Genomic DNA, 24,638 nt, shown 5'->3' with positions numbered 1-24,638 from the left:
AAGAATAAATAAGAATCATCAAATTAAGGGGGGCTTCATTTCAGGAGACATCATCTACGCTGAATCCCAGTGGTTGAAAAGAAGTTGGTCAGGTTAAAGGTTAAGGAAGATGAGAAACTATGTTAGGCAGAAAAAGCAAAGACACTACAATAGAAAGATCATGGTACATTCATAGACCATAGGGGCATGGCAAATAATATTGGCATTCTTCCCAGTGCCTAAGACTACAGGAAACCTATTTAAAAAATAAAAAAATAACTGCTGCAGCTATCAGGGCAGTCTTTGTTCTTATTTATGGTTTCTGTCCATATCCTCTGTTTTAAACATGCTGCTTTGTTTGCAATCCCTGGTTTCCATCTCACAACTTATAAGCGAATCCCTTCACTGTCTTGCTCTTCAGAGAGATGACTTATTAAAATATTGGTTCATTTTTGTTTTCAGCCTCTATCAATACCACTGTCTCCCAGTTGAGCTCTTATTTCCTATAGGTCTCTCTTATGTATTTTAGCCCACAGAAACATCTGCTCAGCTTCTAGGACAATGCATGTAAAGTCTCAAAACACTGACCTTTAGAATTTAGAAAAGAAGTGTTTGCCCACCGTGGCACACGTTTACCTATGTAACAAACCTGTGCGTCCTTCACGTGTATCCCAGAACTTAAAATTAAATTAAATTAATTTAAAAAGTCAAACTCACACCAAAAGGAGTAAATAGTGGTTACTAGGGGCTGGAAGGTGAGGGAAGGGGAGAGATGATTGCTGTATGGTATCAACTTTCAGTTATAAGATGAATAAGTTCTGGAGACCTAAAGCACAGCATGGTGATTGCAGTTAATAAAATGTATTGTATCCTTGAAAAGAAAAGAGAAGAAAGGAAAAGAAAACAAGTGTGTGCATCACTCTTGTTCCTATACCTGAGAAATAAACAAAATATAAATTCTATTGCTATTTTTCTTAGCAGGGCATCATCCCCTCACATTTTGTGCCTAATTGTAAATATATAGCATTCATAGACTTCATCAGAATTTGTAAGACAATATACTTAAAGTCCAAGCTCAGGTATCCCAATTTACTGTCATTTTCTGTCAATAAATATAAGCTTTCAGTTTTCACTGTAGGGTAACAACTTCCAATGACAGTGGACAGATTCTTCTAGCATTAAAGGATTATAATAGTCTCTATTAAATGGGAAGTAATAACATTGTGACTGTCATGATGGCCTAGAATCCCAGGGATCTCTAGTAACAAAATAAGTGTACTTTTATACACTGACTTTTTACTGTGGGCCTACAGTATACAGTGGTAGCAAGGGGAATGCTGAAAACTGTGAGGACAGGAAAAGAGTGATGCCTCAAAACACATACCACTTTCACCAAGTAACAAAGCATAATCCTGCTAATCGCTGGGAGCAGGAAAGAAGGGCAGAGAAATAACCCTAAAATGCATCAAAATTCACAGAGTGTACTGCGGAGATAACCAAAGGCTGTATTTCCTGAGGAACAGAAAGGGCTGGAAAGTAAAGAGAATTCCCCAGCAAGTCAAAAAGCTATTGGCTGTGATATAAAGGAGAGAGAGAGAGACAGACAGAGAGAAAGACAGACAGAGAGAGAGAGAGAGAGAGAGAGAGAGAGAGAGAGAGAGAGAGATCTTTGACAAATCAGGAAACTGCTAATTAGGTTATAAAGCATCAAGAAATCTGAAGATCTCACTAGGGCTCACAACCCAAAACCTAACAAATAAAATGTCTTAATACCACATCTTTTAAATATAAGGACAGAGGTAAACTGAATCGATCTAATGGTGCAATAAATCCAAGGCTGAGCAAAATCACCAATTAAAGTGGCTCATCCTCCTTCATTAGCAGCCTGAGAGAGCAAGAGATACGCTCTTTTCTGGGGGACATATTTCATTCATTTCCGTTTCTACTCATTGTTTTAAGATGTATATTAATCAGGGTTCTCTAGAGAGACAGAACTAATAGGATACATGTATATAAAAAGTGGAGTTTATTAAGGAGTAATAACTCACACAATCATAAGGTCTTACAATAGGCTGTCTGCAGTCTGAGGAGCAAGAAAGCCAGTCCGAGTCCAAAACTGAAGAACCTGGAGTCTGATGTTCAAGAGCAGGAAGCATCCAGGCTGGGAGAAAGATGTAGGCTGGGAGGCTAAGCCAGCCTAGCCTTTTCATGTTCTTCTGCCTGCTTTTATCAAAGCTGTGCTGGCAGCTGATTAGATGCTGCCCACTCAGATTAAGGATGAGTCTGTTTTACCCAGCTCACGGACTCAAATGTTAAATTAATCTCCTTTGGCAGCAAACTCAGACACACCCAGGATCAATACTTTGCATCCAATCGAGTTGACACTCAGTATTAACCATCACAAGATGTAAAGATAAAGTTTGGCAAATATGTATCTTTTGAGAGATACAGTGAAGTAGGAAAAAGGGACTTGTCAAAAGTAAAATAGTCAATACAATGTGATCCATAGATGGTCCAGATGTTAGAATTAGAAAGGAAAAATTGTAAGATAACAATGGTAGGTGTATTAAAGCATCTAGTGTTACAGGTGGACTAATGCATAAACAGGTAATTTCAACAGAGAAATGATACAAAAGACGTCAATGGAAATTTCAGAATTGAAAAAAATATATCAGAAATAAAGAGTTCACTTCATGAAATACACAGAGCTCTACACCCATCAACATCAGAATACACATTATTTTCAATTTCACATGGAACACTGACCAAGATGAACAAATTGGGCCATAATAGAAGTCTCAGGAAATTTCAGGCAGAGTGTGTTTTTTAATAACCCCTAATAAATAAAATTCAATAATATTTATAAAATATCCAAATACTTGAAAATTAATAAACACATTTCTGCATTTGTTATGAACTAAAAGTTTACATGGAAAAGAAGAAAATATTTAGCACTGAATGAAGATTAAAACAAAACATGTAAAAACCTATTAGATAAAGCAGTATTTATAGAAATAATTATAATATGTAATGGGTATATTGAATATTTTAAATAAAAAATTCTAAGCTTCTAACTTAAAAAGCTGGAGAAACAAAGCATATTAAGTCAAAAGTAAACAGAAGAAAGGAAAAATAAACATGAATGTAGAAATCAATAAAATAGCAGATAGGAAATAAATAAAAAGATCACAAAGTAAACAAAAAAATATTAATACAGTTGTCATAGCCCTTGCAAAACTAATCAAATAATAAAAAGAGAAAGCACCAATAGCAATATTAAGAATGAAAGAAAGGACATTACCACAGATTCCACAGACATCAAAAGGAAGAAAAACATAAGAGACAACTTTATAGCAATGTATTTAATACCAAGAAGAAATGGAAAAGTTTCTTTTTAAAAAATAGAATTTCTCATAAAAAAAAAAAAAAACCTTAAAAAAAATAACTCTGGTCCCATTTCTCTTGACCAGTCAATTCCATCATACATTAAAGTAGGATACAACATCAATCTTATACAAATGATTTCAGAAAATGAAAAAGGAAGAAGTAACATTTGTTGATTCATTTTATGATCCATGATGACTCTAATAAGAAAACTAGAGAATGCATTATAATAGCAAAACAAAAACAAGACCAGCATAGACACAAAAATTCTTCACAAAATCCTAGGTTCAAAAATTAATCAATGTTTAAATCATCACATTATAGAATAAGGGGGAAATCATATGATTAATCACTAAAAGCAGAAAAAAACAATTGACAAAATTCAGCAGCCATTCACTATAATGATCTTTTAGTAAACTAGGAATAGACAATATCTTCTTCTATTTTAGAAAAGACATCTATGAAAAAAAAAATTCTATAGATAACATTACCCTTAATGCTAGCACGTATGCTTTCTCCTTAAAATCAGAAACAGGGATAGAGTCCGGAAATAAAAATCACACATATATAGTCAACTGATTTTTGACAAAGGAGCCAGTGTAATTCAGTGAGAAAAGGAAAGGCTTTTCAACAAATGCTGCTGTAACAGTTGGATATCCATATGGAAAAAAATGAACTTTGAACTCTATTTTACTTGATAGACAAAATTTAATTTGAGATGGATAATAGACTTAAAAGAATCATAGCTAAGGTCGTAATGCTTCTATAAAAAATAAGAGTATCTTTACAACTGTAGGTTAAATAAAAATTTCTTATATAGGACAAAAAGCACTATCCTTATTATAAGGAAATGTTAAATTTAAATTCATCAAAATTGAGTATATCTATCCTTAAAGAGACACACAGTAAAAAAATAAGCAGGCAATGCACATACTGGAAGAAAACATTCTATTCTCAGTATATGTGTGTGTATATATGTAATTTATATTTTATATATTATTATATTTTATATATTATGTATTATTTATAATATACTGATAAATGCTTTGCATCCAGAATATACAAAAACTTATATAAATTAATAATTTTAAAAAACAACAAAAATACAATAGAAAAAATATTTTATTCAATACTTCTCAAATTACTATATAAAAATAATAAACCCATAAAAAGGTGTTTGACATCATTATTCCTCAGAGAGATATTATTTCATAAAGAGATAATAGCTTTTATCCACACAAATAGTTAAAATAAAGAAATGTTGCAGTGTCAAGTATTGGTGAGGATGTGGAACAACTGGAAATTTCATAGTCTACAGGGAATGTAAAACGGTGCAGTTATTCTGGATAAATATATGGCAGTTTCTTACAAAGATGAGGGTACACCAATGCTATAAGCTAGCATTCAACTCCTTGGCATTTACCCTTCAAAACAGAATGCCCATAAAATGTTCACACAAAAGTTTATAAATGTGTGTATATTCATAGCAATCTTATTCATAAATAATCTCAAATTGGAACTGTGCCAAATGGTCATCATTGAAACAATAACAAATTGTAGTACATTTTATACAATGTGATAACATTAAACAATAAAAATATATTTCCATCCTTAAAAGAAAGGTGAGTGTTTTCTAAGAATTATCCTTGGAGTATAGATATTTTTCTAATCATTGGAAATCTAAGGACTTCAGTCTTTACTGCTATATGAATTGCTAGCTTATACCTTTACTATCAGCCCTTAATTTATGAAAGCTTTTCTGATTTTTTCATTCATTCACTCAGTAATTTTTTTATTATATATTATAGGATAGGTATTATTTGTATTACTATATCTGGAAACATAAGCAACATTCCTGCCCTCATAGAGATAACGTCAACTGAGGAAATAGCAACCATAAAAAAGTAATTATTTTACATATTAAAGGTCTTATAAAGGAAAACAAACAAAAGGAAATATAAGGAAGCATGACAATGAGAGGGTAACAGAGATTTACTCTTTAGCTAAGGTAGAGGTAAACCCTATGAAGATTGAAATACTTGCTCTGATACCTAAATGATTAAAATAAATAAATAAACTGCAAAAACATCCTTGAGTACAAAACAGAAAGTGAAAATAATAATTTAAGAAGTAAATGGGTCATCAGTGTTTTGGGATTATGGTTGACTTTATTTTCAAATAATTTTTAATAATGGGACAATATGATCTTTTTAATAATATATATTAATTTAATCCAGTCTAAAAACCTGTAGCCAATTTATTTTGCCAGTTTCAATTCTGTACTTCAAGAGACTACAAGCTAGGCCGGGTGCAGTGGCTCAGGCCTGTAATTCCAGCACTTTGGGATGTTGAGGCAGGCAGAACACTAGACCCCAGTAGTTCAGGACCAGACTAAAAAACGTGGAGAAATCACATCTCTACAAAAAAGAAAATTAACAAATAAACAAAAATTAGCTGGGTGTGGTGGTGCAAGCCTCTAGTCCTACGTACTCAAGAGTCTGAGGTGGGAGGATTGCTTGAGCCCCAGAAGTGGAGGTTGCATGAGAGCTGTGATCACACCAGCCCAGTTGACAGAGCAAGACCCTGTCTCAAAAAGAGATTACTTGATCACTTATTAATAAAATAGTTTTATTAGTCCATTATCATGTGCCTAACAAAGACATGCATGAGACTGGGTGATTTATAAAAGAAAGGAAAGAAGTTTCATTGACTCACAGTTCAGCATGGCTGGGGAGGCCTCAGAAAACTTACAATCTGGTGGAAGGGGAAGCAAACATGTCCATCTTCACATGGCGGCAGCAAGGAGAAGTGCTGAGTAAAAGGGGAAAAATCCCCTTATAAAACCATCAGACCTCTTGAGAACTCACTTACTATCACAAGAACAGCATGAAGGTAACTGCCCCCATGATTAAATTACCTTACATCTGGTTCCTCCCATGACATGTGGGGATTATAAGAACTACAATTCAAGATGAGATTTCAGAGAGGACACAGCCAAACCATATCATTCTGTCTCTGTCCCCTTCCAAATTTCATGTCCTCACATTTCAAAACACAATCATGCCTTCCCAACAGTTCCCCAAAGTCTTAACTCATTTTGATAGTAACAGGAGGCAGTCAAATGCCTGGGCAGATAGGGGTAGGTCCGCAGTGAATCTCCACTTCCAAGCTGAAGACAGTTTAAAGCCTGAAAGCCAAGCTAAATCCTCAGACCATGTTGAGAACCTGTCTTCCCATTGGCATACTGTGCTCTGATTGATCCCCACCCTTCACCTATTTTACATAAACCTACTCTTTCCTAATTGGTTTTCTATACTGTCTTGCCCTCCTTTGAGTGATGTCTTCACTTTAACCTTTTTTGCATACTCACAAACCAATTAGCACACACTTGCCATTCAGAGTTTATGAAAAGCTCCAGACCCAGCTACAATGAGAAAACAAAACCACCCAACTGCAGGGGTGGGGCACCACCCCCTGCTGCTTCCCCTCTCTGCTGAGAGCTGTTCCATCACTCAATAAAATTCTTCTCCACCCATCCTAACCCTTCAACTGTCAGTGTATCCTCCATCTTCTTGGACACAGGACAAGAGCTCAGGAACCAACGTATGTGGGTACAAGATATAATATAGGTGGGCTGGGGTGTTCCCAGCCCATCCTCAGACTCAGCTGGTTGCCAGCCAATATTAGTCAAGGGGAGATGAGTGGACAAGGTGACTCCAGCTGCAGGCCCAGGGCCAAGTGAGCCCCAGGCAGGGGGTGAGGGTGGATGTCGCCAGTTGGAGGTCCTGACTGGCAAAGTGACCAAGAAAGTTTCTACATCAATTTTAGCATTAACACAAAAGTCCAAGTCCATAGTCTGAGACAAGGCAAGACCGTTCTGCCTATGACCTTATAAAATCAAAAGCAAGTTAGTTACTTCCTAGATACAATAGAGGTACAGGCATTGGGTAAATACACTCATTCCAAGTGGTGGAAATTAGCCAAAAAAAAAAAGGGACTATAAGCCCATGCAAGTCTGAAATCCAGCAGGGCAGTCATTGAACCTTAAAGTCCTAAAAGGATCTCCTTTGACTCCGTGTCTCACGTCCAGGTCATGTTGATGCAAGAAGTGGGCTGCCACAGCCTTTGGCAGCTCTGCTCCTGTGTCTTTGCAGGGTACAGCTTCCCTTCTGGCTGCTTTCATGGCCTGGAGAGCCTGTGGCTTTTCTAGGCACATGGTGCAGGCTGTTGGTGTATCTACCATTCTGGGGTCAAGAGGATGGTGTCCCTCTTCTCACAGCTCCAACAGGCAGTGCCCCAGTAGGGACTCTACATGGGGGCTCCAACCCCACATTTCCCTTCTGCATTGCCCTAGCAGAGGTTCTCTGTGCCTCTCTGCAGGGCTCCACCCCTGCAGCAGACTTCTGCCTCAACATTCAGGTATTTTCATACATCTTCTGAAATCTAGGCAGAGGTTCCCAAACCTCATTTCCTGATGTCTGTGTACCCACAGGCCCAACACTACATGAAGGCTGCCAAGGCTTAAGGCTTGTATCCTCTGAAGCCACAGCCTGAGCTGTACCTTGGCCCCTTTTAACACTGACTGGAGTGGCTTGGATGCAGGGCACCCAGTCCCAAGGCTGCACAGAGCAGGGGTTCCCTGGACCTGGGCCCAAAAAACATTTTTCCCTCCTAGGCCTCCATGTCCATGATGGGAGTGGCTGCCGTGAAGGTCTCTGACATGCCCTGGAGACATTTTTCTCATTGTCTTGTCAATTAGCATTTGGCTCCTGATTACTTATACAAATTTCTGCAGCCAGCTTGAATTTCTCCCTAGAAAATGGATTTTTCTTTTCTATTGCATTGTCAGGCTGCAAATGTTCCAAACTCTTATGCTCCACTTCTTCTTGAATATTTTGCTGCTTAGAAATTTCTTCCACTGGATACCATAAATTATCTCTCTCAAGTTCAAAGTTCCACAGATCTCTAGGGCAGGGGCAACATGCTGCCCGTCTTTTTGCTAAAGCATAAGATTATAAACAGTCACCTTTGCTCCAGTTCCTAACAAGTTTCTCATCTCCATCTGAGACCACCTCAGCCTGGACTTTGTTGTCCATATCACCATCAGCATTTTGGTCAAAACCATTTAACAAGTGTCTAAGAAATTCCAAACTTTACCACATCTTTTTGTCTTCTGAGCCCTCCAAGTCTCTAAGACATTCCAAATTTTCCCCCATTTTCCTGTCTTCATCTGAGCCCTCCAAACTATTCCAGCCTCTGCCTGTTACCCAGTCCCAAAATCTCCTTCACATTTTTGGGCATCTTTACAGCAGCGCCCCACTTTCTGTCATACAAATTTACTGTATTAGTTCATTCTCATGCAGCTAATAAAGACATACCCACAACTGGCTAATTTATAAAGGAAAGAGGTTTAATTGACTCACAGTCATCATGGCTGGGGAGGCCTCAGCACACTTACAGTCATGGCAGAAGAGGGATCAAACACATCCTTTTACACATGGCAGCAGCAAAGAGAAGTGCCAAGCAAAGGGGCAAAAGCCCCTTATAATCCATCAGATGTCATGAGAACTTACTCATTGTCATGAGAACAGCATGAGGGTAACTACCCCTCTGATTTAATTACCTCCCACCAGGTCCCTCCCATGACATGTGGGGATTATAGGAATGACAATTCAAAATGAGGTTTGGGCGGGGACACAGTCAAACCATATCACTAGTAATCAAGTAGATATCCTAAAATAATGTTAAATAATTGGATATATAATTTGTAGTTAGTTAACTTTATATATTTAAATGGAAGCAATAAAATACTTTCTAAAGCATCTGAAGCAGTTTATAGCCTTACACAGGCTAGGAAGTGCCATGTAAACAATGTCTATAGTATTCATCTTACAAGAAAGAAAAGAACTAACACTCTAACAACATGGTAAAATAAAAAACCTTTCACAACTCTCCCAAAGAACAGATTTAAATTACTATAAATTTTACCATTGAAACATCATTCTAGAAAAACACCAATCCATAGACAGAGAACTGCTAGTTAAGACTAGAATTACTTCCAAGACTTCTATGTTTCCAGAATCAAGACTATGTAATACCTCCATATGTATAAATATTTATTTCAGAACTTATATGTCTCTGTGATCATTCTGGAATAACCTTTGATTAATCAGTTCAGATGTTTTATCCTGGTATGTAAAAATGGACAAGATACAGAAGACATGCTTCTATTCAGCTACATTTTGTTTATCTTCACCAGTGAGCAGCAACCATACACTTCATCATTATGTCAGACACAAACCATTTCCTTTCCTTTCTTTCCTTGTCGTTTCTCTATACACCCTGAGTTTAGAAGCTTCACTAAACTATGTTTATTTTTGAAGCTTTGGGTAGCAGGCCGAAAAGCCTAGAAAAATCAGAGAACAGCAAATTTCCTGTTGATACCCCTTTGATTCTAAAGCATGTTTATATTCCTATTCATAAAAGGCAACTTAAAGATCACTACACAAAGTTTTCCTTTGTAAATATGAACAACTATTGAGACTTTTTTGTTTGTGTTTTGTAAATCAATGCAGTGCTATTGAGTTAAGGAAACCCCTGACTATAACCATTTTACAAATTTATAAATTGTGGAAAGAAGGCCTGAAATTGCTTTTCACTGCACTGAAATTATGTAAATTTGTTATAAAGCATTTAAATTACATTATATGATGAAAACTTTCATTGAATCTTCCCATCTTTTAATCAGATTGCTTAGTAATTTTAGAATAAGTGTATTTTTCACATCTACTTATCATTATATTGCAAATTTTGCTTTTCAGAAATAACATCATTTTTATTCCATCTTAGTTAAATTTTATAAAATTAAATACCATCACTTAAGCTGGTGGGGCCATGTAGAGCTGTACCTGTTTGTTTACTTTTGTCAGAAATCTCACAAGATTTCCTTCGGTTAAAGTTCATTAAACTCCTAATGAGGCTCCAAACAAATTATTTATGCACTGCTTAGGTGAGTAAATAAAGAATATAAACAAAGGAAAGCTAAGTGGGCCCCCACAGACTAGAGAAAACTGCAATAATTTCAGAGAGCAAAGAATGTTTTCCCAAGGTTTATCACGGGTCTAACCCAGTCTGATCCCCCATCCCACCTTCCATTCTGTTGACTCCTGAAAAAATGAGCAGAAGTCAGCAAGTCAGCGGAACAGGAGCAAAACCATGAACAACACTATTCTTTCTGCAAATCAGAATGAAAACCATTAAAATAATTAAAAAGTAGGCCTAGAATATCCAGAAAAAAATAAATTTTAGATTCTAAAAGAATTACAGGTAGCATAAAAGCATAGCCAATATAAAACACAGAATTAAAGTAGTAATGATGATGCTAATCATGTACATACGTTCATTTCCCCCTTATTTCTTATGTAATTTATTCAAAGTAGTATTTTTGATCACTTTCTTCATGTATAATTGCTAAATTCCTGGTTTTCCTGATTTATTGTAACCTGAGCTTACATGCCTACCCTGAACTATTTTCCACGGTCCCACAACATGCACACATGTATGCAGACACACACACATATTAATAGAATCGACTCTGGATAGGCCATCGTCTTCATTTGGCACGACACGCACTTCTCCTCCAGGTCTCTTCCTCTAAGCTGGGAAATCCTGAACTGCATCCTCTAATTTTCCAAGTATAATTTCTCAGAGCCTTCCCTTAAGTCTTTATCCACTATAAAACTCTCTAACTAAGAAGATTTCCTAAGTATTTTCTAAAGTTGTTTTGTCAGGCTGCTTGATATCTAGTGTCAGGAAGAGGTGATCCAGAAGGTGAAATTAGGTGATTGGTCACAGGAACATTGATGAAGCCAGGCCAAGAAGTCAGAAAACCAAAATGGATTAGACACATGAGTGTCTAAACTAACAAGAGGCATTCTTGAAAAAAATGCACACAGAAATTCTACAAAATGTGGCTGCATTGCTTGTTGGTTTTACTTGCTGTTGTTTTCCATTTTCATGTTCAGATGCTTTACACCGCTAGAATATGCTAAAAGCTGTAAAAACTCATCATATATTCCAGTCTTTACTAATCTCTGTTTTGCCTTAACACTCTTAGAAATTATTGCATGGTGAGAATAGAAAAGTGTAAATGCCCTAGATAATAATTAGTGCTGAAAATATTACGTATTTGTACTGAGTCCTCAAGATTGTATACAGCAGGAATTTTTGACTTCCTTTTTTTTGACCCTTTTGGAAGTCTGGTGAACTCATTTTTCAAAATAATGTTCTTACATGCATAAAATGTATACATGGAATTATAAATAATCCAACGACACTGAAATATAATTATCAAAATATTCTTTAAAAACCTAATTTGTGATATTTCAGTATGTATTATTACATATTAAAATATTGTATAACGGGGTAAAATAATGTTATCTCATTAACATTTTGAAGTATCTGCAATTCTATAATGTCACATGAAAAATACCTGTGATTGTGACGTCTCGTGGTGTCAAATTTGGAGGTGCTGCAAATACTTCTATGATTAGCCATGCACATTCATAATGAAAGGAAATGGTAAATGTCTATTAGAAGTTAGTGAATATGATTTTGTTTTTCCATTCCAATTTATAGACCCTGTGAACTCTACCCACAGATTTCTTCCTGAGTGTCAGTGGATCCCATATTTAGAACCCCAATCAAGCAAAACCTTTCTTTTTATGTGGAAGGAAATGATGAAGAGGTTACAGGAACTGGCTCAATATCATAAAACTTTGTGAAATTACTGACATCAACAGAAATTGTATCTTCTCCCACCAAGGCCAAAGCTCGTAACATCATCCATGGCTAATTCATGTGCTTTCATTAAAAAATGATCACAAATGTTAGTGTATAATTTGAAAGCATATCTTCATAAATTCTCAGAAAACACTCTGTAAATGAAGGATTTATTACTTTGTGCTCACCTCTGTTTTGTAAATTACTGCTTTACACTAGAATGATCTGTGTATCAGTCTATCTCCCCGTATAGCAGGTGAACTCCTATAGAAAAGCCACTGTGACAAATACGTATTATGACTCCTGGATCCTTGAATTGGGCTTAGTGTGCCTGTTTGAGCTGAGTTTTATTTACCTTACTTTTATTTATTTACTAACCCACATCCTTCATAGTTGGCTTTTTTTTTTTTTTTTTTTTTTACTAGACTGAAAGTTCCTGGTGACAAAAGCAACTGTTACATACTTCTCTACCCCTACAGTGTTTATCACAAAGCTGCATACATTTAATGAAGATTTACATAGAAGAAAGTATTTTTTAGAAGAGAACTTGAAAATTGGTATATTTTGAAGCCTATATTTACAATGAATTTCTCAAACTACCATAGAAAAATAAATTAATACAAAATTTTACAATGAATAACAGCTCTGCATATTTCATGTTCAAAGTGTAATTATGATATAGTATTTTAAAACTCCTGTATGAATTTCTTGGTTTGGAAAAGTCAACACTTTTAATTATTCTGGGTTATAATTATCATAGGTTATATACTGGGTTATTTATATTACATTATATCATAAACTATTATATATAGGTTATTTAGATAAGCTAGATAAAGAGCATTTGCTTGTCTCGCCCTTGGCAGAGTATGCACTACTGTGTTTCAAAAAATGATATTCCAGAAATAAAAGTACATTGCATCTTAGAATATTTGAAAAATCACTTTAATTTGAATTTTCTACCAACCACATTTTTCTCATTTTGTCTATATTTGGATGTTATCTAGTTGCACAGAAGCTTTATTTTCCTAACCATTTTGGGAGAGTTAGCTTCTTCACAAGTGAGATTACCCATTTTGTTGTGATGAGTGGTTTTATTTCTTACTGTCATGCTGTTAGCGAACAGAGTTGACTCACTAATGATACAGCTATTGCTATCTTAGGTCAGGATGAGATCCAAAAATAATGCAGAAAAGTAACACCTGTGTCTTTGTCCGTTTTGTGTTGCTATAACTGAATGCCACAGATTAGGTAATTTATAAAGAAAAGACATTTATTTCTTACAGTTCTAATGACTGGAAAACCAAGGCTGAAGGGCCTGTATCTGATGAGGGCCTTCTTGCTGTGCCATCCCATGGCAGAAGGTGGAAGGGCTAGAGAGAATTTGGGAAAGCAAGAGATAAAGAGGGGTTTTAACTTCCTTTTAACAAGCCTACCCTCAAGATAATTAACCCACTCTAGCAATGACAACATTAATGCATTCCTAAGGGCAAAGCCCTTATGACCTAATCACCCCTTATTGGGATTCTCCTCCCAACGCTGTTGCATTGGGGATTAAGTTTTCCACACATGAACTTTGAGGAACACATTTAAATTATAGCAACCTGATGTTAAGCATTAAAGTATGCACTATTAACATAAGTAACATGTTCCAATCCTATTAGTGACTTTTCTTATTAACAATTTTTGACACTTTCTAAACAAAATTTTTTAAAAATTTAATTTATATTTCAGAAGTGGCAATAGAAGTTTACAAAGGATTAACTAGTCTTTGTGTGTTTTTCTGCCCTGCAGATTTTCCTTTAAAATATACTAATAAACTTCACATCCAATTCCATGGATTTTACTGTACTTCCTAAAATTGTAGAAATTATATTAGATTAAAACAATTATATATATTATTTTAATTTAAACTTAAAATTGGCTAATTTGAGTTATCTTACAAACTTTTAAAACCAAGAGATCGTAAGATATTTAAATGAGTATGTTTGGTGTGGTTTCGAATTGTCTCCATGATTTAATAACTAAAATGACACTGAAGTTTTCACTGTGTTACAGAAACTTTCTGGATGGTGTAGATAAGGAACAACTATTATTCTAGTAATAGTTTCTTTCATTTGTTCTTTCTTTTTCTATCAAACATTCACAGTATAGTAATAATACATTTACAAAATTTTTTTCAAATGTTACCTCTTTGCCTTCTTATGATAATCCTATCCTGTGTGATAGGTATTCTCTATTTTTCTAAAAAAAAAAAATATATATATATATATATATATATTCCTGGCTGGGTGCGATGGCTCACGCCTGTAATCCCAGCACTTTAGGAGGCCGAGGCAGGCAGATCATGAGATCAGGAGTTGGAGACCAGCTGGGCCAACGTGGTGAAACTCCGTCTCTACTAAAAATACAAAAATGTGCCAGGTGTGGTGGCAGAAGCCTGTAATCCCAGCTACTCAGGAGGCTTAGGCAGGAGAATCACTTGAACCCAGGAGGCAGAGGTTGCAGTGAGCCAAGATCACAAAAGAAAAAAAATCCCGGGGACAATCCCCTTTCCTTATCTATTTATCTCTGATTCTTCTACGTTAATAAAAAGCTTAGATACTTAAAACTAAATTATTTGAGTTACAATTGTTATTTTATCTTATAAAAAAACAATTAATCTTTAAGATAATAAATGTTAATATTTATTATAATGGGATAAAAAACATAATTTGTTTAACTTATCAATGCAGAATACATAATTTTCCCCCCAAATCAAATTTAAACAAACAAACAAAAAACATATTACTCGTAAGAAATTCCATACTTTGGCAACAGTCTCATTATAACTCACTTCCTGATTTCTTTGATTACTTATTCGAGATGGCAGAGTGACACCATCATGTTATTATGATGCCACGTGTGTTGTAGGGAGAAGTGACACTGGAATAATTCAGTAAGCAACAGTAGTAGTTTACCTGAATAACCTCCCTATATGCAGACTAGGGAGAAATATACAATCAGGTCATAATTTCAGTACATAATATCACAAATTCATAAATGTCAGAATCACTCCTTTCCCTTTTCCTTTTCCTTTGCAATATTTCCCCAATTCTTTTCAGAGGAAAATATCTAAAAGGAACATGTTTTACCTGTAGAACTTCACACCCAGAACTGGATTGGAATTACTAATTAATGAAAGAAAAATAAAATAGCTAGAAGCAATCTAATTGATTTGTTATATTAGCGTTGTTTTCAAGTTCCTACCACCCCCAGTCCTCGTTTAGAACAAAAATTCATACCTTCTATCACAGTCTCTTTATGCTGCTATAATAAAATACCAGACTGGGTAATTCATAAATAATAGAAATGTACTTCTCACAGTTCTGAAGGCTGGATGTCCAAAATCAAGGGGCAGGCAGGTTTGGTGTCTGGTGAGAGCCTTATCTCTGCTTCCAAGGTGGTGCTTTGAATGCTGTGTCCTCACATGGTGGAAGAGCAAAAGAGAGTGGACCCACTGCCTCAAGTGCTTTTATAAGGACCCTAATTCCTTCCATAAAGGCTTCACCATCCTCATGTAATTACCTCCTAAAGTAGGGTAATTAGCAATCCCAAGGGGTTTAGATGCTACTGTTTAGATGCTGCTATCTAAAGTACTAGAAGAGCACTCTATAAGTGGGGTAAGAGGATTGCTAATCAGTAGGGCACTAAAGGGCTAAATTACTCATTACTAATTTGGTCCTTCTCAGCACTTTCAGTTTCTGCCATATATTTTACCAATTCAAATATAAACTCCAAGTAACCAAGTGTAGTGATCTTCTTTGTTAAGTGATGTATCTTCTGCACCTAGAAAATTGTACAGCATGGTCAATAAATACCTGTTGAATAAGTGGATATTGTAGATGAAATATAATGTTCAAATTAGATGATTACGTTTATCTGATTTAAATTAATGTATCTACCTATGATGGTGATTTTTAGTCTGACAGTGGCATCACTGTTTAGATGGTACTACCTAAAGTACTAGTAGAGCACTCTCTAAGTGGGGTAAGGGGATTGCTAATCAGTGGGGTACTAAAGGGCTAAATTGCTAATTTAGTCCTTTAGAGCACTTTTAGAGTGTTCTAAGTGAGGTAAGGGGATTTCTATTTAGTAGGGTACAATTTTAAATTAGTTCTTTAGGGATGACTTTATTGTAAAAGTGACATTTGTGCAGAAACTGAATGAGGTGAGTGGATACTAGAGGAACTGTCCTGGCAGAGGGAACAGCAATGTAAGTGTTCTTGAAGCAAGAGCATGGTCAGTGTGTTCACGAATCAGCAGGGAGGACAGTGTGGCTGCAACAGAGTGGGCAAGGTAGAAATAGAAAATGAGCCCAACAGGGAAGGCCAGAAAGTGATCTTCTGGAGTACTATAAAGACTTCCTGAGTGAGGGGGGAAGCCACCAGAAGCTTTTGTGCAGAGAAGTGATGTATTTATTACTGTAGTTGCAATGCTGCGATTTTAGTGGTATGTGTGGAGGAGAGGAAGGAAGAAGGGATGCAAAAGGCAGAAACAGGAAGACCAGGTAAAGGGCTGTTCCAATAATTTACAAGAAATATAGAAGTGGTTTTTGATAAGGTACTGGTGGTTGAAGTGCTGTAAAAATAGTAAGATTTGGGGTAGATTTCGAAGGTGACGCCAACAGAATTTGCCTATGGATTGTATGTAGTGTATTAGAGAAAGACTCCAGAACAATTGAGACCATCCTGGCTAACATGGTGAAACCCCGTCTCTACTAAAAATACAAAAAAATTAGCTGGGCGTGGTGGCACGTGCCTGTAGTTCCAGCTGCTCGGGAGGCTAAGGCAGGAGAATCGCTTGAATCCGGGAGGCGGAAGTTGTAGTGAGTCGAGATCGCGCCACTGCACTCCAGCCTGGGCAACAGAGCAAGACTCCGTCTCAAAAAAAAAAAAAAAAAAAAAAATAGAGTTACTGTTTGCTAGGATCTGGAGGACTGTGGGAGGAGCAAAATTTTGGGAGAAGTGTCAAGAACTTGGTTTAGGACAAGTCAAATCTGAGATGATTATTAGACATCAAATGGAGAGGTCGGTTAGAGAGTTGGATTGACACGTTTGGAATTCATGTGGCAGGTTCAAGTTGGACATTTAAATTTGGAAGACATCTGCATAATGCCATGAGACTAGGTAAGATTATCCTGTAAACAAACAGACAGAGAAGAGAGGAAGGCCATGGACTGAACTTTGAAGAATCCCAGCATTAAAACATTGAAAACATGAGGAGAAGCAAGTAAAGGGAACTAAGAAGGAATGGTCAGTGTAGCAAGGCAGGAACCAAGACTGTCATGCCCTGGAAGCCAAGAGAAGATATTTCACAGAGAGTGAACACTGTTTCTGTTAAGACAAGTCACAGGACTAATTTACCAAGTTATATAATTACAGGTATAACCTACATGGAGATGAGTGTTTGACGGAATGTTAGGTATGAGGTATCTGGAAGAGAAAATTTGGAGATAAAAATATAGATAACTATATAAAGAAATTTTATTCTTAAGGGAAGCAGGAAATGGGATGTAGCTAAGAAAGGGTATGTAGTTAAGATAATTTATTCAGAGATACTATAGCACATGAGTGTGTTCATGAGAGTATTCGATAAAGTCAATAACAATCATGATGCAGAATAGAGACAAGGAATGTCTGAATGATGTTCCTGAGTAGACAAGAAGGAGAAGGATCTAGTGATCAGGTAGAGGGGCTGACCTTAGATAAGGACACAGATAGTTCATATACAACATGCAATGTGTATACTGGTGAATAATGCTTATTTAAAACCAATGTTAGGAACACTTAAGCTTTCATATTTCAAAGAAAATGTTCTCATAAAAACTGTACAGGAAATGGGTGTTTTTATATTCTCTAATTTATAGATGAGAAAAAGTAAAGTTAAACTGTATTTAGAAACCCACCTAGTATCATAAAATATTCTGCAAAGTTTTAATTAAGACCTGGATCTTCCTGGAAATTTTAATTAGAAATTGACTAATTGTCAACCCTTAATCCAAATAATTTAGATTCATTATTTCTTGTGGAAATAATGTTCCCAAATTTACCTGTATATCAAAATCACTTCTGGGATCTCATTTTGCTTTGATTGGAGACAGAATCTCTGGTCTTAACCTTTGAACATTCTCATTTAGTAAATCTTGGGAGGGAATAGTTGCTTTAAAATAAGGCATCAGTTGTTTTCAAAGTGCTTTCACATTTGAGTACCACTGTAGTGTCAGACACATAAGCTATACGAAATGATTTTCTGTATATAGGAATCCTCTGCAAGCCATATATATTTTTCATCATGAAGAAAAATATGAACTCGTGAGAAGTTCAGTGTGGAATTTTTATGATAAATCACCTTCAGTGAATTATCTTTCATGATTAATAATGTTAGATGTATGAATTTTCTTTTTATGAAGATTGGGGGCATTAATTTAGTGTTGAATACAGAATAGTAAGACCTCATTTGAGTGTTGGTTTCAATTCCTTATAGTGGGCCCTAAGTTGGTAAGGGAGCATACCAGGGACTGAATCAGGGGCTTTAAGGAAGGCTAGTCCTAATTTTAATCATAATTATCTTGTTTTAACTTATTTTGTTAAAGTCCTGTTTGATATTTCATTTCAAAGAATATTTGTATTTTATTTAAACATACAAAAAACTGAATTAGAGAGATGATATCCATCCAAGACTCAGGTCCCCAAACAGTAAAGTGCTCAGTCAGCTTTCTGACATCACTGTGGTCTCCATGCAAGAACATTGTTGTCAAACATCACTGATCAAAAGATGTTTACCAACTAGTCTCATATTCAGTGATATGAGACTATTCACTCTCGACAAATAGTACCATTTTTATGAAGACTTCAATAAAATAAATCTATTTGACACTTTGCCCTAGGGTAACTGGAGGGACTGCCGTCTACAAAGATTAAATTAAGCACAAGTAAACCTTATTACTAATGAGCTTTACTGCTAAATTTCACAATCTCCTTTTATAAACTGGGCTCGATATGAACAACTTGAAGTACTATTTGCACAGAGTAAGTAGATCTAATGCTTACAACAAAATTAAACTTATTTGGTCCTTCCCCTACTAAAACCATGCTCTTATCCCACCTTTTTTTTTTTTTTTTTTTTTTTGAGACGGAGTCTCGCTCTGTCGCCCAGGCTGGAGTGCAGTGGCGGGATCTCGGCTCACTGCAAGCTCTGCCTCCCGGGTTCACGCCATTCTCCTGCCTCAGCCTCCCAAGTAGCTGGGACTACAGGCGCCCGCCACTACGCCCGGCTAATTTTTTGTATTTTTAGTAGAGACGGGGTTTCACCGTTTTAGCCGGGATGGTCTCGATCTCCTGACCTCGTGATCCGCCCGCCTCGGCCTCCCAAAGTGCTGGGATTACAGGCGTGAGCCACCGCGCCCGGCCTATCCCACCTTTTTAAATATTACAACTCTGATTAATAATTTACTGAAATATTTAATTAAAAAATATACAGAAGTGTTTTGTGTTAGTCTGAGTTTTCTGATAAGCACACCAAAAGGGGTTTAAATATTCAAAAATTTATTATTTAAAAAAACTGTGGGAGAAAACGGGGAGGGAGCCAGGAGAGTCTGAGCCATCAGCCCATGATACAAGCCTGACCCAGAGTGAAGGAGAAAGGGAAGGCAGGAAAAAAGTTTGGATGGAAGCATCTTAGACTACACTTGCCATTTTAAGGAAAATTTAGCAAGCCAAAGTCATCCATTAGAAGAGGCTAGCTTCTCCAGCACTAGACTTCCTTAGTATCTCTACCATGTTTTGTCATTGACTGAGAGCTGCCATAGGAAATGAGTCCTCTGCACAAACACAGCAGTGGGTTTTAGGGGTTACAGCTGGGACTCTTGGTCAATTACACTTCCTGCAGTTGGAGATTTGAGAGGCATATTCTCATGATCACCACACATGTACACTTGTACTCCCATGTCTGAGTTTGTGTTATTTATTCATCTATTATTGATGTCAGATTAAATTTTGCCTCCAATAACTGTAGAGGCTGGAGATTACTCTGAATTCAACTATAAAACTGGACAAGAGAACCTAATACTCCTGTTTTTTCATGCTACTCACTTAAATACATTTGAGTGTCTAGTTTTTCTATTTCTTCCTACTCTTCCTAGGGTCATACCCATATGGGAAATAGAATGTACTTCTGTTTCGATATAAAAGGAAGGCACTTTTCCCAAAAGGCACCATTAAGAAAGACTGAGAAGGTGCTAGCCCCGAGGCTGTGTGAACTGAGCTGCTCTTCACAGAGCACCGATTCCTCTCATTCCTCAGCCTTGGCAGCTAATGGAATATGCTCCTCCAAGGGGGAAGATTTATTCACAAAATGACTCTATAGAAAAATGTGCAAGGAGTAAAGCAGATCTGCTGTTAGGTTGGTGAAATTTTTCATGCTCTGTTTGTGAAGTGATTGGTGTTTTCTCCCAGTTATCTTTATGCTTTGGCTTCAATTTGAGATTACCAGGTGTCTGCCTTCGTATAGAAGAAATTTGAGGCTATTTAAAAGAGATGAGAAAATGTTCCTGTAGTTACATTCCTTCTCTCCAACCACAAACCTGGGCTGGTTCTGGAGACGCAAGGGGGAACGTGACAGGACTTTAAGTGTCAGGTTGCTCATGTAGAGATTTAGTATTTAGGCATTGTTATTCGGAAGTAGGAAGTATAATGAGGTCAGGAATGCTGCAATTATTGTTTTAGTCTCAGTTTCACTCTGACTTTGAGAATATCTTTTAGGCATTTTGAATAGGAGATTTCTTATCTGAGCTGGCTGACCTAGCTGATCAATGTGATTAAGATACCTCCAGGAAGTTTACAACATGGCAGCCCTGCATCATGGTTACTTCTCCCATCATTCAAAATCAAGTACTTTAATCAGCAGTACAGATGATGTAAGAGTGGAATTTCTGTGAGTGTTCAGCTGAGTACATTTGTGTGTGTGTGTGTGTGTGTGTGTATGTGTGCATCTGTGCATGTGCCTGTACATACATATATATGATCATGGGATTCTTTTATTAATGAGTCAATAACCTCAAATTGTAGCAGGTGGATTTTTTTGAAATAGTTTGTGGTAATGAAAATGAAGAAAACTTTAGAGTCCAGAAAGATCTTAGCCCAGACTTTTAAAAAAATATGTTTTGTCCAAGTGAACCGAAATCAACTGTGATGCTTTTTAAAATATAGATTCACAGGCCTCACCATAGACCTTCTAATTAAGACTCCTTTGGTATGGGACCAAGGAATCTTAATTTTTAACGAAGTCTCTGAATGCTTCTTTTATGCATGAGTGTTTGAGAATTATTGATCTAATCAAGTAGTGCATTTTATAGATAAAAGCTGAGATTGAGAGGTGACAATATAAATGTATTGAGTAGAATTGATCAAACTGATTCAGATAACTAGTATTTGAATTCCAATTGAAATAATTATATCATTAACTCATTCATGTATTAATTCCTCTAATAAACATGAATGGGATGCTTATTTAGGTACTATGCTAAGTGTTTTATATGGACTGTCTAATACTTAAACTATCTCTGTGATATAATAGCTCAGAAGTTACAATTATTTTTCTTTCCCACATAAGGAAATTGAGGCTAAATTTTTCAAATAATTTGCCTATGTTCTGGCCCCTAGTATGCTGTTTTTTGTTTTGTTTTTTTTCAAAACAGTATCTTGTTCCTTCACCCAGGCTGGTGTGCAGTGGCACAATCATAGCTCACTGCAGCCTCAAACTGTTGAGCCCAAGTGATTCTTCAGCCTCAGCCTCGGGACGTCTTGAGGCTGTGTCACAGGCGCATTTTTAACCTTGGCAAAATAAACTTTCTAAATTGATTGAGACCTGTCTTAAATATGTGGTTCACTACATATATATATATCTTTAACAAAACAGGTAATTGAAACTCAGAAATTTTAAGGAATAGAACCAAGGTCACAAAAAAACAGGCATCTTGACTTCTAGCTGTCAACAGGTAATTTAATATATTTTTAGACCTGAATACTATGACTAGCTACTTGAAACTGATACAGGTTTGAGAGTAAGGCTCTAGACCTTTTGAAAGAGTGTCAACTCAGCCTTTCAGCTTCTGACTGAGACTGAATATACTGAAGGTATTACTGACAGTGTCCCATTGTGCTGGAGGGTCCCTCTCACCTGTCAGCTGAGTTATGCTTGGCTATGTGTTTCAATCAAGCAGTGAAATGGAGAGAAAACCGATGTGGTTATTTCCCCATATTTCAGGTTGCTGCCTTGAATACTGTCAGCTGGGACCTTACATTATGCTAATGTTATTGCAGCATTGTGTTTGCATTCCAACAGGGATTGCTTTTGTTCTCACAAAATGCACCTCACCAAAATGTGGAAGTATCCAGTTTACAAATTCACTGCTACTCCTGGCTTCCTCAGGGACCATTTCAAAGTATTAGACGATGGTAAGCAAATTAGTTATTTGATTCCAATGAACTGAGGTCAATATAACATCTGTTTTCCTCAACTTTGCTATCACCTTTATTTCCGAGGTATTTGCCTGTGCCTTAATTCATTTTGTCATCTAAGAGCATTTTCTTTGACCTAGAGCTACTTGTCTCCTGTCAATTTTCTTTCAAGTTGTTTGCTTGCCACAGCCTGGTTAGAAAACTATAACTGACTGAGTAGCCAACAAAAATTCCTCAAGTTCTGCTGTTTTCAAACTATGCAAATGTCATTTATTTCCAAAAAAAAATTGAGCAGTGACATTTGACACAGTGAACATAAATATGTTTGTCGTCAGTCTGGAAAAAGGAGGGCAAAAGTTCTTGGTCACCCACTCCCAGATCAAGTAATCCTGAAGTAATGCATTTATTAGTCAAGGTATTTTGTAAAGAATGTATTAAACAAATGTTGTGAAACTTATTTTACTTATTTTTGAGATCTATGTTCTTCAATAATTGGGAAAGTTAAAATAATCTTTTAAGTTACGCAATTACCATCACTCCCCCAAAGTCATCAGCAAAGTTTTTGGCCAAACTGGCTGCTCATGTTAGCTCAAACAAAAAGTAGATAAGACTGTATTGAATTGGGTTGTTCTTGTCATATGTTAGAAGCAGTCTCAATCCAAAGGATAAGTACAACTGCAGTCCTGAAGGAGAACTAAAGTCAGAATTAAAGGAAATATCAAATGTCAAGTTCAAGAGGTGAAAAAAAATAAAAGCTACAGTGTCAGGAGCAACGGTAAGGAAAAGACTTGGAAATGCAATGAATTTTTCCACCAATCCTTTGATCTTCTCTTTCTAATATACCCTTGCCATGTTCCATGGGACATATCATAATCTGTCAGGTCTACCCCATGCTATGCCTCAAATTCCATTGTTTTCCTGCAGCCGACTTACAATGCCTGTGAGTCTAAGCCATAAGAGATTATCGCAAGAGTCCCTAACTTATTTTCAGCTTCTGTGTTGAATTATCTCAATCCACAGTCTATGTAGCACATAAACTCAATAGTTTGTTTAGAAAGCGAATGAGATCATCTTGCTGTTCTGCTTGAAACTTTTTAGTAGTTGTTTATTTATCTTATGATTTGTAAGATCCAGCATGATTCTAGTTTTACTTGGCTTCCTCTCTTCATGTTATACCTTCAAGACCCACTCTCTCACTTCATTGCAATTGAGCCACACTTGGCTTCTTTCTCTTCCTCAGATGCATCAAGCCCCTTCGCAAATGCTGTCTTTCCCCTTGTTCATTACTTTGTGGGTTTTTTTCCCTCTAGCTCTTCAGATGGCTAACATCAGTGCCTTTCTTCAGGTCTACAATCAAATGTCAGCTACACAAAGAGCCCTCTCTGACCAGCCTATCATAGTAAGCTACTACCACTGACATTTTATTTTCTGTCATGTCATTTATATTACTTCCTTATATTATTTATCTTAATCTGCAGTATGATAGGTTATGTGAATTGATTCACTCAACCTCCACTCTACCCTCCCTCTAAACTGCCTTTCTATACCACAGACACTGGTGAGCTAAAAAATCTACACTTACCAGACTTCTTTGCACTAGAATTCTCAATCAAAATTAAGTTTTAAGTAACTTTTGAAAAACACAAGTGAAGTACAGGCTATTGCCTTGCTTACGCTGACAAACAAGGTTGTTGAGATAAGAAGACCAAGACGCTATTTTGTGTTTCAGTGTATTCTCTCTAGTTTCATGGATGCTAGAGGCAACTGTGGCTCAACACTAGCTCTTTGAATGTGGTTACACAACACTGGAGGGACTTTGAACATATGAGCTCCAGTGGCAGGGCTCTGACTTTCACTTGTTCAGCCTTTTGAACCATTTTGTCTGTATTTCTCTATTAACTTTCGTTTCAAACTCTTCTGTTTAAAGTATCTAGAGTGTTTTTGTTAACTGCACTAAACACTGCCCAATTAATGTATGGATCTTATTTATTTATATGT

At 36.4% G+C, this 24,638-nt stretch overlaps 1 long non-coding RNA gene across 1 annotated transcript in view; it reads right to left on the bottom strand.

Moving 5' to 3' along the window:
* The window catches only part of NRXN1-DT (NRXN1 divergent transcript), a 1,375,317-nt gene that overhangs the window by 41,530 nt on the left and 1,309,149 nt on the right, over positions 1–24,638 (bottom strand). The window contains exons 9-10 of the long non-coding RNA NR_135237.1: positions 15,102–17,063; positions 13,426–13,514 (exon numbers count right to left, since the gene is read on the bottom strand). This is a non-coding gene — a long non-coding RNA (NRXN1 divergent transcript). The remainder of the gene's footprint in view (positions 1–13,425; positions 13,515–15,101; positions 17,064–24,638) is intronic.

Source organism: Homo sapiens, chromosome 2 (assembly GCF_000001405.40).
Source record: "Homo sapiens chromosome 2, GRCh38.p14 Primary Assembly".
In the NCBI taxonomy this organism is placed as follows: Eukaryota; Metazoa; Chordata; class Mammalia; order Primates; family Hominidae; genus Homo; species Homo sapiens.
The sequence above is the reverse complement of the archived record's forward strand: the minus strand, read 5'-3'. Positions and strand labels throughout refer to the sequence as shown.